General features: G+C 34.8%; 1 protein-coding gene across 5 annotated transcripts in view, besides 2 other annotated features; it reads right to left on the reverse strand.

Annotated features, from left to right (window-relative positions):
• Positions 1-3,952: 3,952 nt before the first annotated feature.
• TMEM26 (transmembrane protein 26) overlaps positions 3,953-15,151 on the reverse strand; it is a 46,740-nt gene continuing 35,541 nt past the window's right edge. Inside the window, exons 5-7 of one of the 5 annotated variants that reach the window (NR_134507.2) lie at positions 10,770-10,846; positions 6,760-8,057; positions 3,953-4,426 (exon numbers count right to left, since the gene is read on the reverse strand). Coding sequence is in view for 3 of the 5 variants with exons in the window: in NM_178505.8 (NP_848600.2) it covers positions 7,633-8,057; positions 10,770-10,846 (502 nt within the window). In the remaining 2 variants the exon portion in view is untranslated. Of the gene's footprint in view, positions 8,058-10,203; positions 10,310-10,769; positions 12,425-13,366; positions 13,435-15,151 lie in introns of those variants that run through there. The other 4 variants (NR_134508.2, NM_178505.8, XM_011539450.3 and 1 more) reach the window with 4 other exon arrangements.
• Positions 7,162-8,361: an enhancer, noted in NCBI's record as "CDK7 strongly-dependent group 2 enhancer chr10:63169609-63170808 (GRCh37/hg19 assembly coordinates)". NCBI's record gives its function as "activates an origin of replication core promoter dependent on BRD2, BRD4, P300/CBP, MED14 and CDK7 cofactors, with strong dependence on CDK7, by STARR-seq in HCT116 cells {active_cell/tissue: HCT116}" and the evidence as "EXISTENCE:reporter gene assay evidence [ECO:0000049][PMID:35650434]".
• Positions 12,045-12,546: an enhancer, noted in NCBI's record as "NANOG hESC enhancer chr10:63174492-63174993 (GRCh37/hg19 assembly coordinates)". NCBI's record gives its function as "activates a minimal SCP1, AML or CMV promoter by ChIP-STARR-seq in primed H9 embryonic stem cells {active_cell/tissue: H9 hESC(primed)}" and the evidence as "EXISTENCE:reporter gene assay evidence [ECO:0000049][PMID:30033119]".

Consider the following 15,151-nt stretch of genomic DNA (forward strand, 5'->3'; position numbering starts at 1 on the left):
AGTGTTTTGAATAGAAGAGATGTGATCAAATGTGAGTTTTAGAACAGCCAGCACTGAATGCACTTTGGAATGCACTATGGAGGATTAAACCAGGAGGTTGGAAGACCAGTTGGGAAATAATTGCAATCACTGAGGAAAGAAATGACGTGACACCAAATTAAGATAGTAGCACTTGGAATAGAGAATGTAGGATAAAGATTGAGAGGAAGTATAAGCAGCATAACTGACAGAATTTAGGTATTACTTAAGAAGAAGGTATAAGAAAAAAGAAACAAGGACTTAGGAAACATCTGGTTTTGGCATGGGTGCCTAAGTGGCTGGAGATGCTACTAGTTATTGTTTGGAACACAGGAAAGGAGTAGATTGGGGGTTGAGTGTGGTAAGACATATATAATTTTATATATATATATATATATACACACACACACACACATATAACTATATATAATTATACATTATATATAATTATATATATTATATATAAAAATATACAATTAAATATAAATATAATTATATATGTCTTACCACACTCAACCCCCAATCTACTCCAATCTAATTACACATATAATTATATATATGTGTGTGTGTGTATATATATATATATATATATATATATATATACACGTATATATATATAAAATTGAGTCTGTAATACTTGCAGAATATCCAGAGGAGATGCAAATCCAGGCATAGAGTCCAGGAAGTAAAAGAGTTTGGGATTAGAGATACCAATAAAAATCACTAGTTATAGGAATTAGTTGAAACCAAAAGATCCAATGAAATAATTATAGCATTTGACCCAGCTGTTCGCTGCCACGTAGGTCATATGGGGACTCTTGCATAATAGAGAGAATATACTTTGCCAGAAGGTAGAAGCAACCCCCAAGATCCCAGAGCCACAACCATCTGAATTCTTCAGCTATGCATTTGGCAGAAGCTGAACACCAGCATCCATAGAGAAAACATATTTTGTCTTGTAGATCCAATTTTCCTTGCCCAAAATTCTTAGTTTGGATACAAAGACTATATGATATTTGACATATGGCTGGTTTAGAAATATTTGTTTTCCTGAATAAGTCGATCAGATTTGCATATGATCCATTTGATCACTTACCACAATCAGTTATAAATTTAGTAAATACTTGGCAAAATCATAAAAGCTTACATACACAAATTAGATGGGCTGTGAATACAGACATGGAAACAGATGCCTAGATTCTTTCTGAAGTTTTCACTGTCAGGGTTCCTTCAGTTCTCAATCTCTTCTGGGGAAATCAGCATGACTGTGTCATTCAAAGTGAAATTTCTTGATGGTTTGTTCTGGTGACTCCATAAATGTCAGGAGTGTGGAAGTGTTAGACTGGCAGCTTCAAAGTAGTCTCCATGGTACTCATCAAGAAAGACCCAGTGAATCTTTTTGGTCAGCTGGATTCTTCTGTGCTCTTCTGTATCTATTCATTATTTCATTTCCCCAGTATTAGACACTTTATAAGGCAAGCAGAATTTGACATGGTTTAAGGCCTTGATTTATCTAAAACTTCTCAAGATCATCCTTAGTTATAATGAGAAGGTCTTTATTTTCTTGGGTGGAAATAAATGATGTGCTTTTATTTTATTTGCAAAGTGATATCAAAGCATCTGTGCATGGCAGTAGGCTGAAGTAAAACTCACAAATTGGTGAGGTTTCCTTTGTCATAATTACTTTTAACATTACAAAAATGATGTGTAATTTTAAAAATTCAAGCTATCAAATAGATAAAAGTAGTTTTACAAAGGAGGGAATATCCATGATCATTAGAAACTTGAGCACCATTTCATGTTTATTAGCCACTTGTGAAGGTATGGATAACACTTACAAAAAGAGTAACATACTAACTTGTTTTGTATCCTTATTTTTACTTAACAGAATATTTAAGCTATTGTTTCCTATCAACAGTATGGCTCTACTTCATTCTTTTAAAAAATGACATGGTATTATGTAGTATAGAGGTTACATTATTTAACCATGACTCCATTAATGGACATTATGCTGCAACTATGGAAAATACTGAACAGTCTTATATGCACATGTTTGCACACACATATCTGCAGGATACATTCTTAGAAGTGGAGTTGCTAGGTCAGATGATAAATGTGTTTTGTTCTGACTGATGTTGCCAAATTGTCTTACAAAGGAGTTGTACCAATTTACACCCTCACTAACTATGAATAAGAATGCCTACTTCCCTTGTTTCCCTCTAATACAGCATTCTAAAGAACTTTTGGGTCTTTGCCAACCAAGTAACTGAAAAATGGTTAGCCTGTAGTTGAGTCTGCATTTGAAAAATGGTATTTCATTGTGGTTTGATTTGCATTTCTTCAACTATTCCTTTTGCAGTGAATCATATACTTAAGTCATTTGCTCATTTTTTCAGTGATTTTTTTTCTTATTTGTAAGAACTGTTTGTTCATTAAGAAAACTAACGTTTTGTTATATTCGTTGCAAACAAATTAACTCAGTTCATTGTTCAACTTTTGAATTTGCTTATGGTATTTTTACAATGCTAAAATTTTTAATTTTAGGGGCTGAAATTTATGAATCTTCTATGGTGTCTCATATCTTGCTCAAAAAGCATTCTCACCATCACAGTTATAAAAACAAAGTTTTCTGTGTTTATTTTATTTTAAATGTTTAATTATTTGCTCTACTGGAAATGTTTTGGACATAAGGATTTAGGTAAGGATCCAATTTAATATTTTCCAAAACCTAAACCATTTATAATATTTTACCCCACCCCATGATTTATCACATATCAGAATCCCTTGTGTAACTCGGTCTATTTATTAAATTTATTCTGTTCAGCTTTTTGGCTTGCTTATTCATATTCCACAACCAAATCCTTTTGGTTATTATAGTTGTATAATATATTTAAATATATTAAAATATCTCTCTCATTTTTCAACTTTCTGTTGGTATTTTCTAACTATTCTTTCATGCTTATTTTATCATGAAATCTTTAGAATCAACTTGTACAGTCACAAAAAAATTAATATCTTGTTGAAAGCATGATGATTGTGCTACTTGATCTATTTATAGATCAGTTTAGGGAAAATTGAAACTTTTAAAAAAATATCAAGGCTTCTTACCAATCCCCATAAAATAATGTCTTTCTTTTTGTTAAATTATTCATGTATGGCCCTCACAATCATTTTTAAGTTCTCTTCACGTAGATCTTAAACATTTCCCAAGTTTATTCCTATGTATTTTATAGATTTAGTTTATATTGTAAAGGAAATCTCTTCCTCAAGTATATATTCTATGTGATTTTGTATGTAGAAAAGCTATCGATTTTTGTGTGTGATTTCAGATTATTTTTAAAAGTTTCTTAGGTTTAATATGTTTTCCTTGGATGTTCAAGACTCAATCTTCTATGAATAAATGATACATTTGGCTCCTTCTTTCCAATTTCTATACCTCTCATTTCTCTTGTCTGATTTCTCTGACTCCTTTCTCCAGAAAAGAAAATAAGAGTGATGTATTTATGATAGCTTTCGCCATTGAGAAACGTTAAGCTTTTATGTAGGAAAAATCTGTCAATTCTTCTGTAGCTTCTGGGTTTCATGTCTTGTTTCAGAAGATCTTTCCCATCCCCCACAGGCTAAAGACAGACTGCATATTTTCTTCTAATATTTATAGTTTTCATTTTACATTTACATCTTTAATCCATCTGGAATTTATTTCTATATATTGCAGGAGATAAAAATCTAACTTTATTTTTTCCAGATGGATTGCAAAATTTCCCAACATCATTTGTAAAATTGGTCAGCCTTTCCTCACTGGTTTGAAATGCCACTTTAATCATATTCTAAATAGATCAGTTTTATTTTTTAAACTAGAGCTTAAAAACCATAAAGGAAATGAATTGCAGTAGAGAACAAAGACATGAAAAGCCAGCAAAAATCCACATTAAGATAAAGTTGTGCACACACTATTTAATGCATATAATAAAATACAAAGGCCACTCATAGCAAAATAGTATAAATATAAATACTGCAGAGAAAATATTCTTATATGGTATTCTAGTAAGAAAGAGACAGAGGATGAAATAGATACACATAAAATATAAGACTTAGCAGTTAATTATTCAAACATTGTTTAAAGTTACTCCCTGCATATGGAAACTTATTTGAAGCCTCAAAGCTGTAAACATCCTCCAGCCGCCTAGTTTAACCCCAAATCAGATGTTTCTGAGAGCAAATCAGAATGTCCTCTAAGTAAAAAGCCAAGTCTGAAATTAGAAAAAAAAAAAATCCCCTTTTTTTCTTGTAATTCAAGACTGTTTGGTGTTTCATTTGCGTCTCTGTAGTATACGTCACCATCCCTCTTTCTTAGCATTGGAGGAGGGCTAAAGTGGACAGATGCCTGGCATTTGCAATTCTTTCTCTCCTGTAACAGGAAAAGTTGGTTAAGAATTATCAAGAATTAAATACCAAACATTATTACATTCAACTCTGAAAGATGGATAGAAATCTTAAAGCATGTGCACCTACAAATGCATGCCTTTCCAGAGCTTTGGAAATGTTCAATTAAATAATGAGTTAACAATTAGTATTATAATAGTGAATCCTGCTATTCCTTGGCCATATCTATATGGTTCTATAAGGTCTGAAGTGCTATTTGTTAGTGGAACTACAACAGTGCCAAGAGTAAATTTGTATCAGACTCTTCACTGGAAGATTATAAAGCATGTTATTGGCCAATTCAAAATTTTATTTCATTATGCTATTGAAACAGCTCAAATAAAAATTAAAAGAATAATCAAAGATAAAGACAGTTTACTAATGTTACTATGTCAAGTCATGTCCTCTGAGAGTCATCCAGTAAGGGCAAAAGAAACCCACAAGATGATCATGAGGTGTGTTTCCGCACAGTATCATTGAAACATGCACATTGTGTTTTCTTTCACAAGTGGAATGACATGTTTTTAGGAAGGATATTTGACTGAGTTTAATCAAGCAATTAAATAACAACTATGGCAATAATACCAACAGCACCAACAACCTCAAATAAGCCACTTTCTTCAGGGGTTGGGGAGTGACCTACTGTGTGTTGGGGGGAGGGGTTATGATAGAGAGGATGACTTGCATCACATTATACAGGTGTTGTGAGTCAGTTATCTTATTACAGATAAAATGTAAACAAGTCCCAGGATGTCCACACATGGGAGGTAATTGATGTTCTAGCCACTTTATAACAAACAGTTGGATGTTTTGAAACATTACAGTATTTAGCAGTCTACGCTATGAACTGAACAAATTTGTAATATTTAATCAGGAGTCTTAGGAATGGCTAATATATAACCTAGGTTTAGAGCTTTTATTCAAATAAACTAAGCAAATGCATATTTTTTTTTCCTATTATAAAAGCAGCCAGTATAAGAGAGTAGGAGTACTGGCAGCTAGGTTAACAAATGCTGCCCCAAGCAGATTTTCCTGGAAAACCTTGCAGAAGCTGGGTCTATTTTTGCCGCTATTAATTGCCAAGATGGTCCTGGGTGCTCTTTGACTTCCTGACCCTCTAAATAAAGCTAGACTTTGGACAGGCTTTTTATTTCTCAAGCCCACGAGGAGTCTAATTACAAAATACTTTAATTTAAACACTAGAAACTCATTCACGAAGCCAAGCCAAGTCTCAGATTTGAAAGCATTTAAAAATATCCTTGCAACAGCCGTACTACTTTATACTTTATCTATTTTTAGGGCCTCAGTGTTTATTTTGCTGGAAGAAAAAAATTAAAACATGAAAAGTATGCCATGAGCAAATCTGCAATAATAAGCAGCACATACATGTTGTGGAAGAAAATATTCAACATAAAGCAGTCAACATAAAAACAGATTCTGCTGAGGCATTTTTATAAATAGCAGTTATTATTTTGCTTTCAACTGCTGAGCACTTCAAATAACATGCCCTTAAAAGTTGTCAAGTGATTTACTTCATATAAATATAATTTCTTGATCTTAACTTTCATAAAATTATTATGGAAAATCATAAATGTATTCCATTAGTTCCATGTGTCATTTTATAGTCATTATATTGTTAAAATTAGAAGCACAAGGAAGAAAGAAATAAAAAACATATAACAATGGCACTGAAGAAGCCATTTATGAGAAAATATGCATGACTCTGTATAAAAACACAATTTGTCTATAAAAGTTTGTATAAAATGTTTCGAATAGGTATCATGTCACCCAGAGAGTTACAGATAAAATTGTCCCAACTGGTTGTCAATAAGTCATACCAAATTAAGGGCATACCCCACCTTAAATGTCCCTTTGAATTCTCGAGTATACTAATCTGGGGGAATTAGGTTTTGAACCTAAAAGAACAGTTTTGGAACTGTTTGCCTCGTGTAATTACTGCTACACACCCGAGCAAATTTTCACACTGTATCTTTAAAGGCAAAAATCACTTTAAAAGGTTCTGAATCACCTCCATCTGGAAAGTATAGAGGTATGTAAAGGAAAAGTATGGCTATTTCAATACTGGGAAAATGAAGTCTTAATGCAAGAAAATAAAGCGAATTGCCTGATTCCCACAACGGGGTAGCACATTCCGACTCCCGTCACTCAACAAGGGCTGTTGGCCATGGGTGGAGCTGATGCAACCCTCCATCACCATGTTCCCTGAGAGCAAAGGCCACTTCCAGTAGTCGCGGTTCAAAGAAGCTGCAGCTTTGTTCACTACTGCTGGCAGACACCAGAAACCATGGAAACACTTACAGGGCCCGAAACACCTTTATTCACTGCTTCAGAGCTTCCCTGCATCAGCCCACATGATTCAACTTGGCAATATAGAAAATGGTAAAGCAGGGTTCAGAAAAATACTGATGAACACTGCAAATCATGTTCAGAGTAGAAATTGTGACTTTGCTAGCATTTCACCAATATTTCCTGCCTTGCAACCAGTAGATATGTAACCAAAATGGCTTGCTGTGAATTTTGTAGCACCCAAGACAAAAGCAATAAAATTTCTGTAAGAACATATGCGCCATGGCAGAATACAACATCAGCCCAGAAAAAATGATTTTCCTGGGAAGGCCTGGGCAGCGATGAATAGGGCTCTCTATGATACGGAAGCTGGGCAGAGATTTTCGCTTCTTCCAGCCCACAGTGAGGTAATTTTAAAGGCACTTTTCCCTTCATTTGTTCTGCATTCACTGAATGTACATTTTTTGATGTCAGAGGAACATTGCAGAAAAGATCAGACGAAATAGTCTGACAATGGAGGCAAAGTTCAAAGCTTCTCTATTTCCAGGTAACAGCCGCGACAGTTGGTCTGCACCAAATCTTTCGAGGGCATGTCACTGTAACCTCTTCCATAGCTTTTCAAACAGTTCAAGACAAACAAATCACTTAGTCGTTGAACAACTATAACATCTGATACCATCACACAGAAGTTGTAGCAATAGTCACTAATCAAAGTTCCTTCTATTCAGTTGAAAAAAGAAAATTCCTCAGCTTTGGTTTAAGATCACCTTTTTATGTTGTTCTTTTGAAAATTATTATACGCCAAGGTTGGAGGAGAAAAAGGATCCTCCCTGTAAGAAGAACCAGGGAGTCAGGTTCTAGCCGCAGACCACTGTCAATCAATAACTAAGGGGTGTGGTGGGAGTCGTCGGAGGTGACTGGGGAGCCCCGCAAAGGAATAGCCAGGCCCTCCTTAGACTCGTTCTGCCAGTCCCGCTGAGAGGGCCCACTCTCAGAGGTCTGTGCCCGGCAACCATGTTCTCCTTTCAGGCCTTCTGACTGACTTCTCAACGAAGCACGGACTGCCAATGCCAGCACCACCAAGCGGTAGAGTTGCAACACCACCACGAGGAAGTTCTTCGCGGCAAAGAACACCAGCATCTGATTGATCACTTTGAAATAGGTCATCAGTATGAGACGCACGACAAGGAAGGGGCCATCTTGTATGAAGACGCTGATTCCGATGTTCCACAGATCGGCACTGTACTGGCAAAAGAACAGGCTGGGGAATCCCCTCTCTGTCACAGACACAGGGCACACAACGTTCTGTACTGAAAACACAAGACAGACTAGTTACTATCTCTCTTGGAAGTGTAGACATATAAGACAATGCCATGGGGACGAGTCATTAACAATGGGGACTGTGCTAGTAATAATTCTGTGATTTAATTACAGGATGGAAATCAAATGGAATGATCCAGTAATTTAATTCAGGGTGGAACAAGTGAAAGCACCCTGCCCTGTGACTCGCATCCACATAGAAAATGTAAGATCATCTAGTTCTCACCCTGGGCAAAGCACAATTAAATAGATTCTAGGAGCCAGTCATGGTCACAAGTGCTTATAGCCCAAGCTCCTTGTGAGGCTGAGGCTGCACCATGGGGGGAATAAAAAATAAAGGAAGCCACCATTGTGATTCTGGGGTCCACAGTGTAAGGAAGCCTCACAGTTGCATGCTCAAGGCCTCAAGTCAGGAAGCATGACTGCCGCATTTTCCAGCAGTGAGTTGCTGGCGGGGTCACTAAGCCTTCCTGGGCCACGGTTTCTTCCTTTGAAAACTGGGATAACAATCATATCAGTGAGGAGAGGGGTCCCTATTCATTGGCTCATTTTGTTTCCATTAGAATAACAGCCCTGCATTCTGTCCACTTTTTCCCTCAATCTTCCCCTTAGGATCACGAATGATTTGCTTGAATGATAAGCTTAAGAAACGGAGCAAAGTGTACGTGGCTCTGATCATTCTATATACTCTTTTTAGGATCTGCCTGTTTGTTGGTTTACACACTCAAGCGTGTGCGCAAATTGTGCTGTGAAAATTCAAGTGCTTATATTCAAATTCAAACTTAATTCATATTAAATACATTTTTCAAATGATGGAGGGAAAAAGCCTGAATAAATGCCGTTGTTATTTTATTTTATCCTAATTCCTTGTGCTTTGTTTCACAGTTTACAATAATGACTGGATATAATTACTGATTTTCCAGTTAAACAAAAGGAGGTGCAATCAACAGAAGAACCTTTGTCTTAATTTCTGAAATGTAAATTTAATTCAGGGTCAAGGGCAGAAAATAATCCTTTTATAATAATGAAGCCTTCCATTTGGAGTTTTCAAACAAAGAATGCCTTCGTCTACTGGAGCCTGCAAATATTATGAAGCTGCTTTGATATGGATAAACATAATGTACTATTTGTTGGAAAATACAATAATGATTTAGTCAGAAGTAACATTTGGTCTTTGTTTTTCAAACAGCTGCATAACATTATCACCCCTGAAAGTTTACAAAATGTCTTTCTTAAATACAAATTTTCTTAGCAAGGCAATAAACCACAAGATATGGGAGGGTGAGGATCGGCAGAGTGAAAGACAAAAGAGAAACCAAGGTTATATCAATGGTAGCCTTTCCTAAGAAATGAGGGCCAGGAAATGGCTCCCAAAGGACCTTCTAAAGGTATTAATTCAGTATCTAATGTGATGGCACCTAATATTCTGTAAGTGGACACCAGCTTGACCAATGAGTATAGCATACCTTCCAGGGCACATTATGACAAAATCTGTGTGTGTGTGTGTGTGTTAGCATACATTTGTTTGTAATTACTAATAAGTGATTCCGTTTTTGGCATTTCTTAAAAGCCACAGCAAGTTTTTCCATCTATTCCAAATTGTTAATAATTCCAAAAAGAGGATGCTATGTTTAAAATGGCCTCAGACCTCTGAGCCTACAAAAGTGAACCAAAAAAGATGGAGAAAAAGTTAAATATCTCTGTCCTAAGGATTAATTCTAATCCTGAGGCTGGCAATTAAGGTGTAATAAATAAACAAGTCAGGCTAAGGAAAACATAATTATTAATTTCTAGAATTTCTTTGGAGTAAAGTGACATCCAGGAGAATTCTCAAATCAAAATTCTAGGGTTCCAAGAAGTTTTCAGATGACTCCAGATGAACACTGCTCAACTGAACTTTCTGTGATGATAAAAGTGTTCCATATTACTGCTGTCCAATATGGTAGCCATTTGTGGCAACTGAGCACTTGAAAGGTGGCTAGTATGACTGAGGAGTTGGAATTTTAATGTTTTAAATTTTTAATTAATTTCAATTTAAAGAGCGATGTGTGGTTGGTGGGTCCCCTGTTGAACAATGCAGCCCTAGATTATTGCTAGTATAAAATGCCTGGGAAACAGATTACTTCTTGCAAAATCTTAGGGGTTTATGTTTTTATTAAAGTAAGACCAGTAGGATTCCAAGGACCTCCAATGAGGACAATTTTAACTGCTCCTATGTCTTCTGAAGTTCTAATACATGGGTCTGAAAAAAGAATGAAAATTACTTCTTACAAATAATAAGAAATAAAACTTTTATGGCAGCAACTTGCTAAGCAAACTGTATATTACTGAGTCATGACAAGAATCTTCAACCCTAGTGACTATGATTATCATCCCTATTTCATGGGTGAAAGAAAGCTGAGACACAGATGTATTACCTGGTTTGCAGGAGGTCTTATAAATCATAACTGACGGAACTGCTATTTGAAGTAAATATAACACTATGCAATTATCTGCTCTACTATCTTAAGCTCACCGTGTACCACAGTGGATCCACTCTTCTTGGCTTACTAAGTTTCAATCTACTTTCCTTCTAAGCTGAACTAGAACTAATATTGGGATACAGACATGATAATCCTTTCACTTGCCTTCTTAGTTTTAGCATAGTTAATAATCAAGAGGTGTAATTTTCTATTTCTTTGCACAAACATCAGGATACTTACCTGCCAGGTCAAGTGGAAACTGCAGCATGCTCCAAGTCCATATAACAAGGATGGCATAGACTAGTGCAGGACTATTCCTAGAATACAGACAAAATGTTAAATTTGTAATAAAAAGTATGATCACATGCAGAAAAGTCTTCTCAGTCAAGTTTTTTAGTATATTCCTAATAAACCTCTTGTGGCCAAAATATCTTGGTGATTTAATAAATCAATGAAAAAAATCCTTACATGATAATAATGGAATAATGAAGAAGTGAAAAATAAATAATCTGAGACTTAAAGCCCAACATATGCATGAATTATGACAAAGCCTCTTGGTCCCATATTGCTGTCTTTAGTTTTACAAAATTATGGAAACATTATGGGAGAAAAATGATAGGGGAGAAAATATAGATATTAACATGGATATTCAAATGGCTGATTTCAAGGAATGTCAGTGGGAGGATTAATAATTATTCTAAGAAACCAGGGATCGAATTGAAAAGACATTTCAAAAGAGCTAAATGATGATCAAAGATTAAAAACTCAACATTGAAATAAAATTGTCATTAGATAGGAAAAAGGTAAGGAGATAAATCCAATAAACAAAGATTTATACCAGATAGTAGGACATAAAGCAAGGAATAAGCCTATTTCATTCACCACTGTATCCTTAGTGCCTAGAACAGTGCTTGATGGATACAACATATATTTATGGAAGGAATGGTTAAAAGCACCAAAGAAGGGTCCATACTCAGACAAATATACAAATGTCCTAGACCTAGGAAAATGGTCATGAAGGCTAAAATCAGAAAGAACAGAGGTTGCAGAAATGCAAAGGATATTAAACAGGGTCACATTTATTTTTAGCAAAGATAGAAAGGAAGTCATCAATTTGAGCTTGGTAGCATAATAATAGATTTTGTTTCCATCTTCCATCAAAAGAGATTTTCAGATTGAAGAGGTCTGAAAAGCATCAAGGAGGAGTAATTGAAACCAAAAGAAATGAGGTGATTGTAAGGGATATCTTTAAATGCTTCAAGTGTAGAGGCATTAAATACAAAATTAAATCTCAAAACTCTGAGAGAATTTGTAAATGAGATTTCTAAACCATCATTATCTGTCTTGGCAGTTAATGGTGGAGACAAGGTTGGTGATAAAAAAATAAAGTCTCAACTTTCAAAATGAAGCAGAAATATGTCTTGAAGTACAAAAGGCACATTTACTATTAATCTCTAGTTAGATTATATAAATGATCCTTTAAAAGATTTCTGAGAGCCCTTTTAGAAGAACACAGTTATTACGAAGCATCAGCACAGGTCCTCTGAGAAAAATTGCACTCAATTAAACTTAGTTCCTCCTCTTAAAAAATATAGTTAGGATTACCAAGCAGGTAATGTTATGTAAATTGATGACAGACATTCAGATTTAAACAAGGCTTCTGAAAAAGTCTCCCATAGTGTCCTCATTAACAAAATTAAGAAATATTCCAGGTGTGAATACTGTTAGGTGGATTCCTGTGTAAATGGCTCCCCACAGGGGGACTCTCCAATGGGTTGTTGAAGGCTGTGCTTTTGATTCTTTTCTACTTCACATTTTATCATGACTTGGTGGACATTGATGGAAGGCTTCTCACATGCACATATGGCATAGAACGTGGATAGAAAACCAGTACCCTGGAAGACACAATCAGGATTCCAAAAGAAGTAACTGGATGACCTAGATTAGAATAGAATTGGATAGAAGAAAGAGCATTTCACAGCAGCAGCCATAAAAAAGGGCTCAAAGATTTTCCCTAATTGTTATCTAATTATGAGTCCACAGTATGACATGATTTATGATTTACCAAAATCAAATAAAATCATAGGTTGCTTCACAAGAAATATAAGGTCTAAAATTTTAAGTGGAAATGCCTTGGGAATGCAGACTGTAGCTTTTCCCTCTTTACACAGTCAATGTCTATACACAACAGATGTTCAATAAGTGCCTGAATTTTTAAATAATGTTATGGACAGTTTCTGATTTCAGACATTCATGCCAGGCAGTTTTCTAAATGCTTAACTCTATGATCACACTTAATTCTCACACCAGCTCAACAAAGTAGACACAATTGTTATCTCTATTTTATCAAGGAGGTAAAAGAGAGTTGAGGAAATTTGTCCAAAATAATGTAGTTATGAGTGTTGAGAGCAGAAATCAAAACTAGACAGCTGATTTCAGCATTTACTCCTTTGGACATTACATTATATTATTTCCATGAATGAAACGGAAACTTTTAGGTCTGCTCTATTCTACAATGTTCAGAACATACCTGAAATATTATGTGTGATGCTTCATATATTAGGAGAAACATTTATAAAGTTTCTTGTACCAAAGGGGGAGAACTAGAGTGCTAAAGCATTCAGAGTCATGATCTATGTGAGACAGTTCAAGAAACTAAAAACTAGAGATAATTCCTTAGAAGTTTTATTTCATATGTTTAAGGACTATAATGTGGAAAAGGAATGAAACATTTCTTTTGACTTGAGATGGCCAATTCAGGCTCAAAGGATTTCAGTTGCACCTGTGAGAATTCAAATTTCATCACAATAGAGGAAAGTAGTTTCTAATAATATTACCTCAAAATAGAACAAGTTGCCACTTGGGGTTAGTATGTCTTCTATTAGTGGAATTTTTCCAACAGAGCCTGCAGAAAAAGTTGTTGAGGATATTTTCACAAGGTTTTTTCAATAGATGCAAAAGAAATTTTTCACAAGATCTTTTGAAGTTTCATCTAATCCCAAACTTCAATAATTCTACCAAAAACTATGTGCAATTTGCCTGCAAGGCAGTAGAAAGCAGTGGCAAAGCAGGGGGCTTTGGTACCAAGTGACCAGAATTCTAACACCAGCTCCAACTCTCACTAAAGAAATAGGATGTGAGATTCTAATTCCAGATTGATCAGTTATTAGTCATATGAATATGCATAAGTAGTTTAACATCTGCATGCTTTAGTTTACCCATTTACATTATGAGGAAGACAATAATAATAATTACTGGATTATATAATAATTTTATTAAGTATATTATTTAAACATGTTAAACACATAAAGCTCTTAGAACAGCATGTGACACAAGCTATTATGGTAGATCACTACAAATTAGTTATTTTTGGTTTCATGTCACCTTGAGACTTTATTTTCCTTGCCTGACATGTCTTTGCTTATAAAATTGGGATAATAAAAAAATTTACTTCATAGTGTGGATGTAAATGCAAAATAACTTACTAAATTAAAGCATTTAAGACTTCTTAGCACACAAAAAGTCATAAATAAACATTACATAATTGTAGCAGTAGTAATTTTACTAGTATGTCAACATGCTTCTTAAAATCTTTGTATATTATTCACCATCCTACAGAATAGGGATAAATGATATACTAACCCTAGCCCTACATAAATCCAACTTTAACCATACAATAATAAATGCACAGTTTTTGCATATGTATATATTATCTATGCACACACAAAATACGGAAGAATGTGGGTGTTGAAAAACATACTAGTGAAATTATCAAACACAATTTTGGAAAAGTAGATCAGAAAATTTTAAAGCAGGCAAATATGAATTATTAGATCAGACAGTAAAAATTCTCAGGAAGGTTAAATGTTAGAATGTAAATAAATCATGGAGATTAATGGCAAACACTCAAGATCTGTAAAGGAATTTTGGGTGGATTTATTCACCACTGTCCCATGTGTGTAATCTGCCTTCACAAATGTCAACTGAGAAGCATGTAAGCAGACAATGACTTGCTTCAGAGAGAAACAAAAAAATCTTGGGAAGTTTAATTATTGACATTAGTATCACTTTTCTATTTGAAAAAAATTGTAAGATAAAAGACTGGCATTTGGTATATCAGCACACTCAATATGGTGGTTAAAAGTAAAAATAAAAAGTCATATTTTGCCAATGTGCTTAGCTATTTGTTTTTGGAAGTGTAAATATTCCTGTAGAAAAGACAGAATCAGTGGATAGAATTCATCTAGTTTTTTTTTTTTTTAATGACAAATACCACCAGAAAAGGAAAAAATAATAGAAAGGAAGAAAAAAATGAAGTATTAACCTATCCTGGAAGAAATATTTCACCATTTCTTCCAGGTGAAAAAGAGATTAGCCTCAACTCTGCAAAATAAAAATAAAACACAATGTAAACATAAGAAGAGTCTCCTTTGTATGGTCAAGTATTCACAGGGAAATGTTAGTAATGCTGTGAGAATAGAATTCTTTTTAGTACATGATCTATTAATATGTTGGGGGGAAAAAAGACTGCACAAAGTGATCTCCAAAGGTGTGAATGGCCAGGGAACTCTCCGTGGCAATGATGTTGAAACTCTGACTTGTGAAAATGTTGGAAGGTGGCT

This window comes from Homo sapiens, chromosome 10 (genome assembly GCF_000001405.40).
Source record: "Homo sapiens chromosome 10, GRCh38.p14 Primary Assembly".
Lineage (NCBI taxonomy): Eukaryota > Metazoa > Chordata > Mammalia > Primates > Hominidae > Homo > Homo sapiens.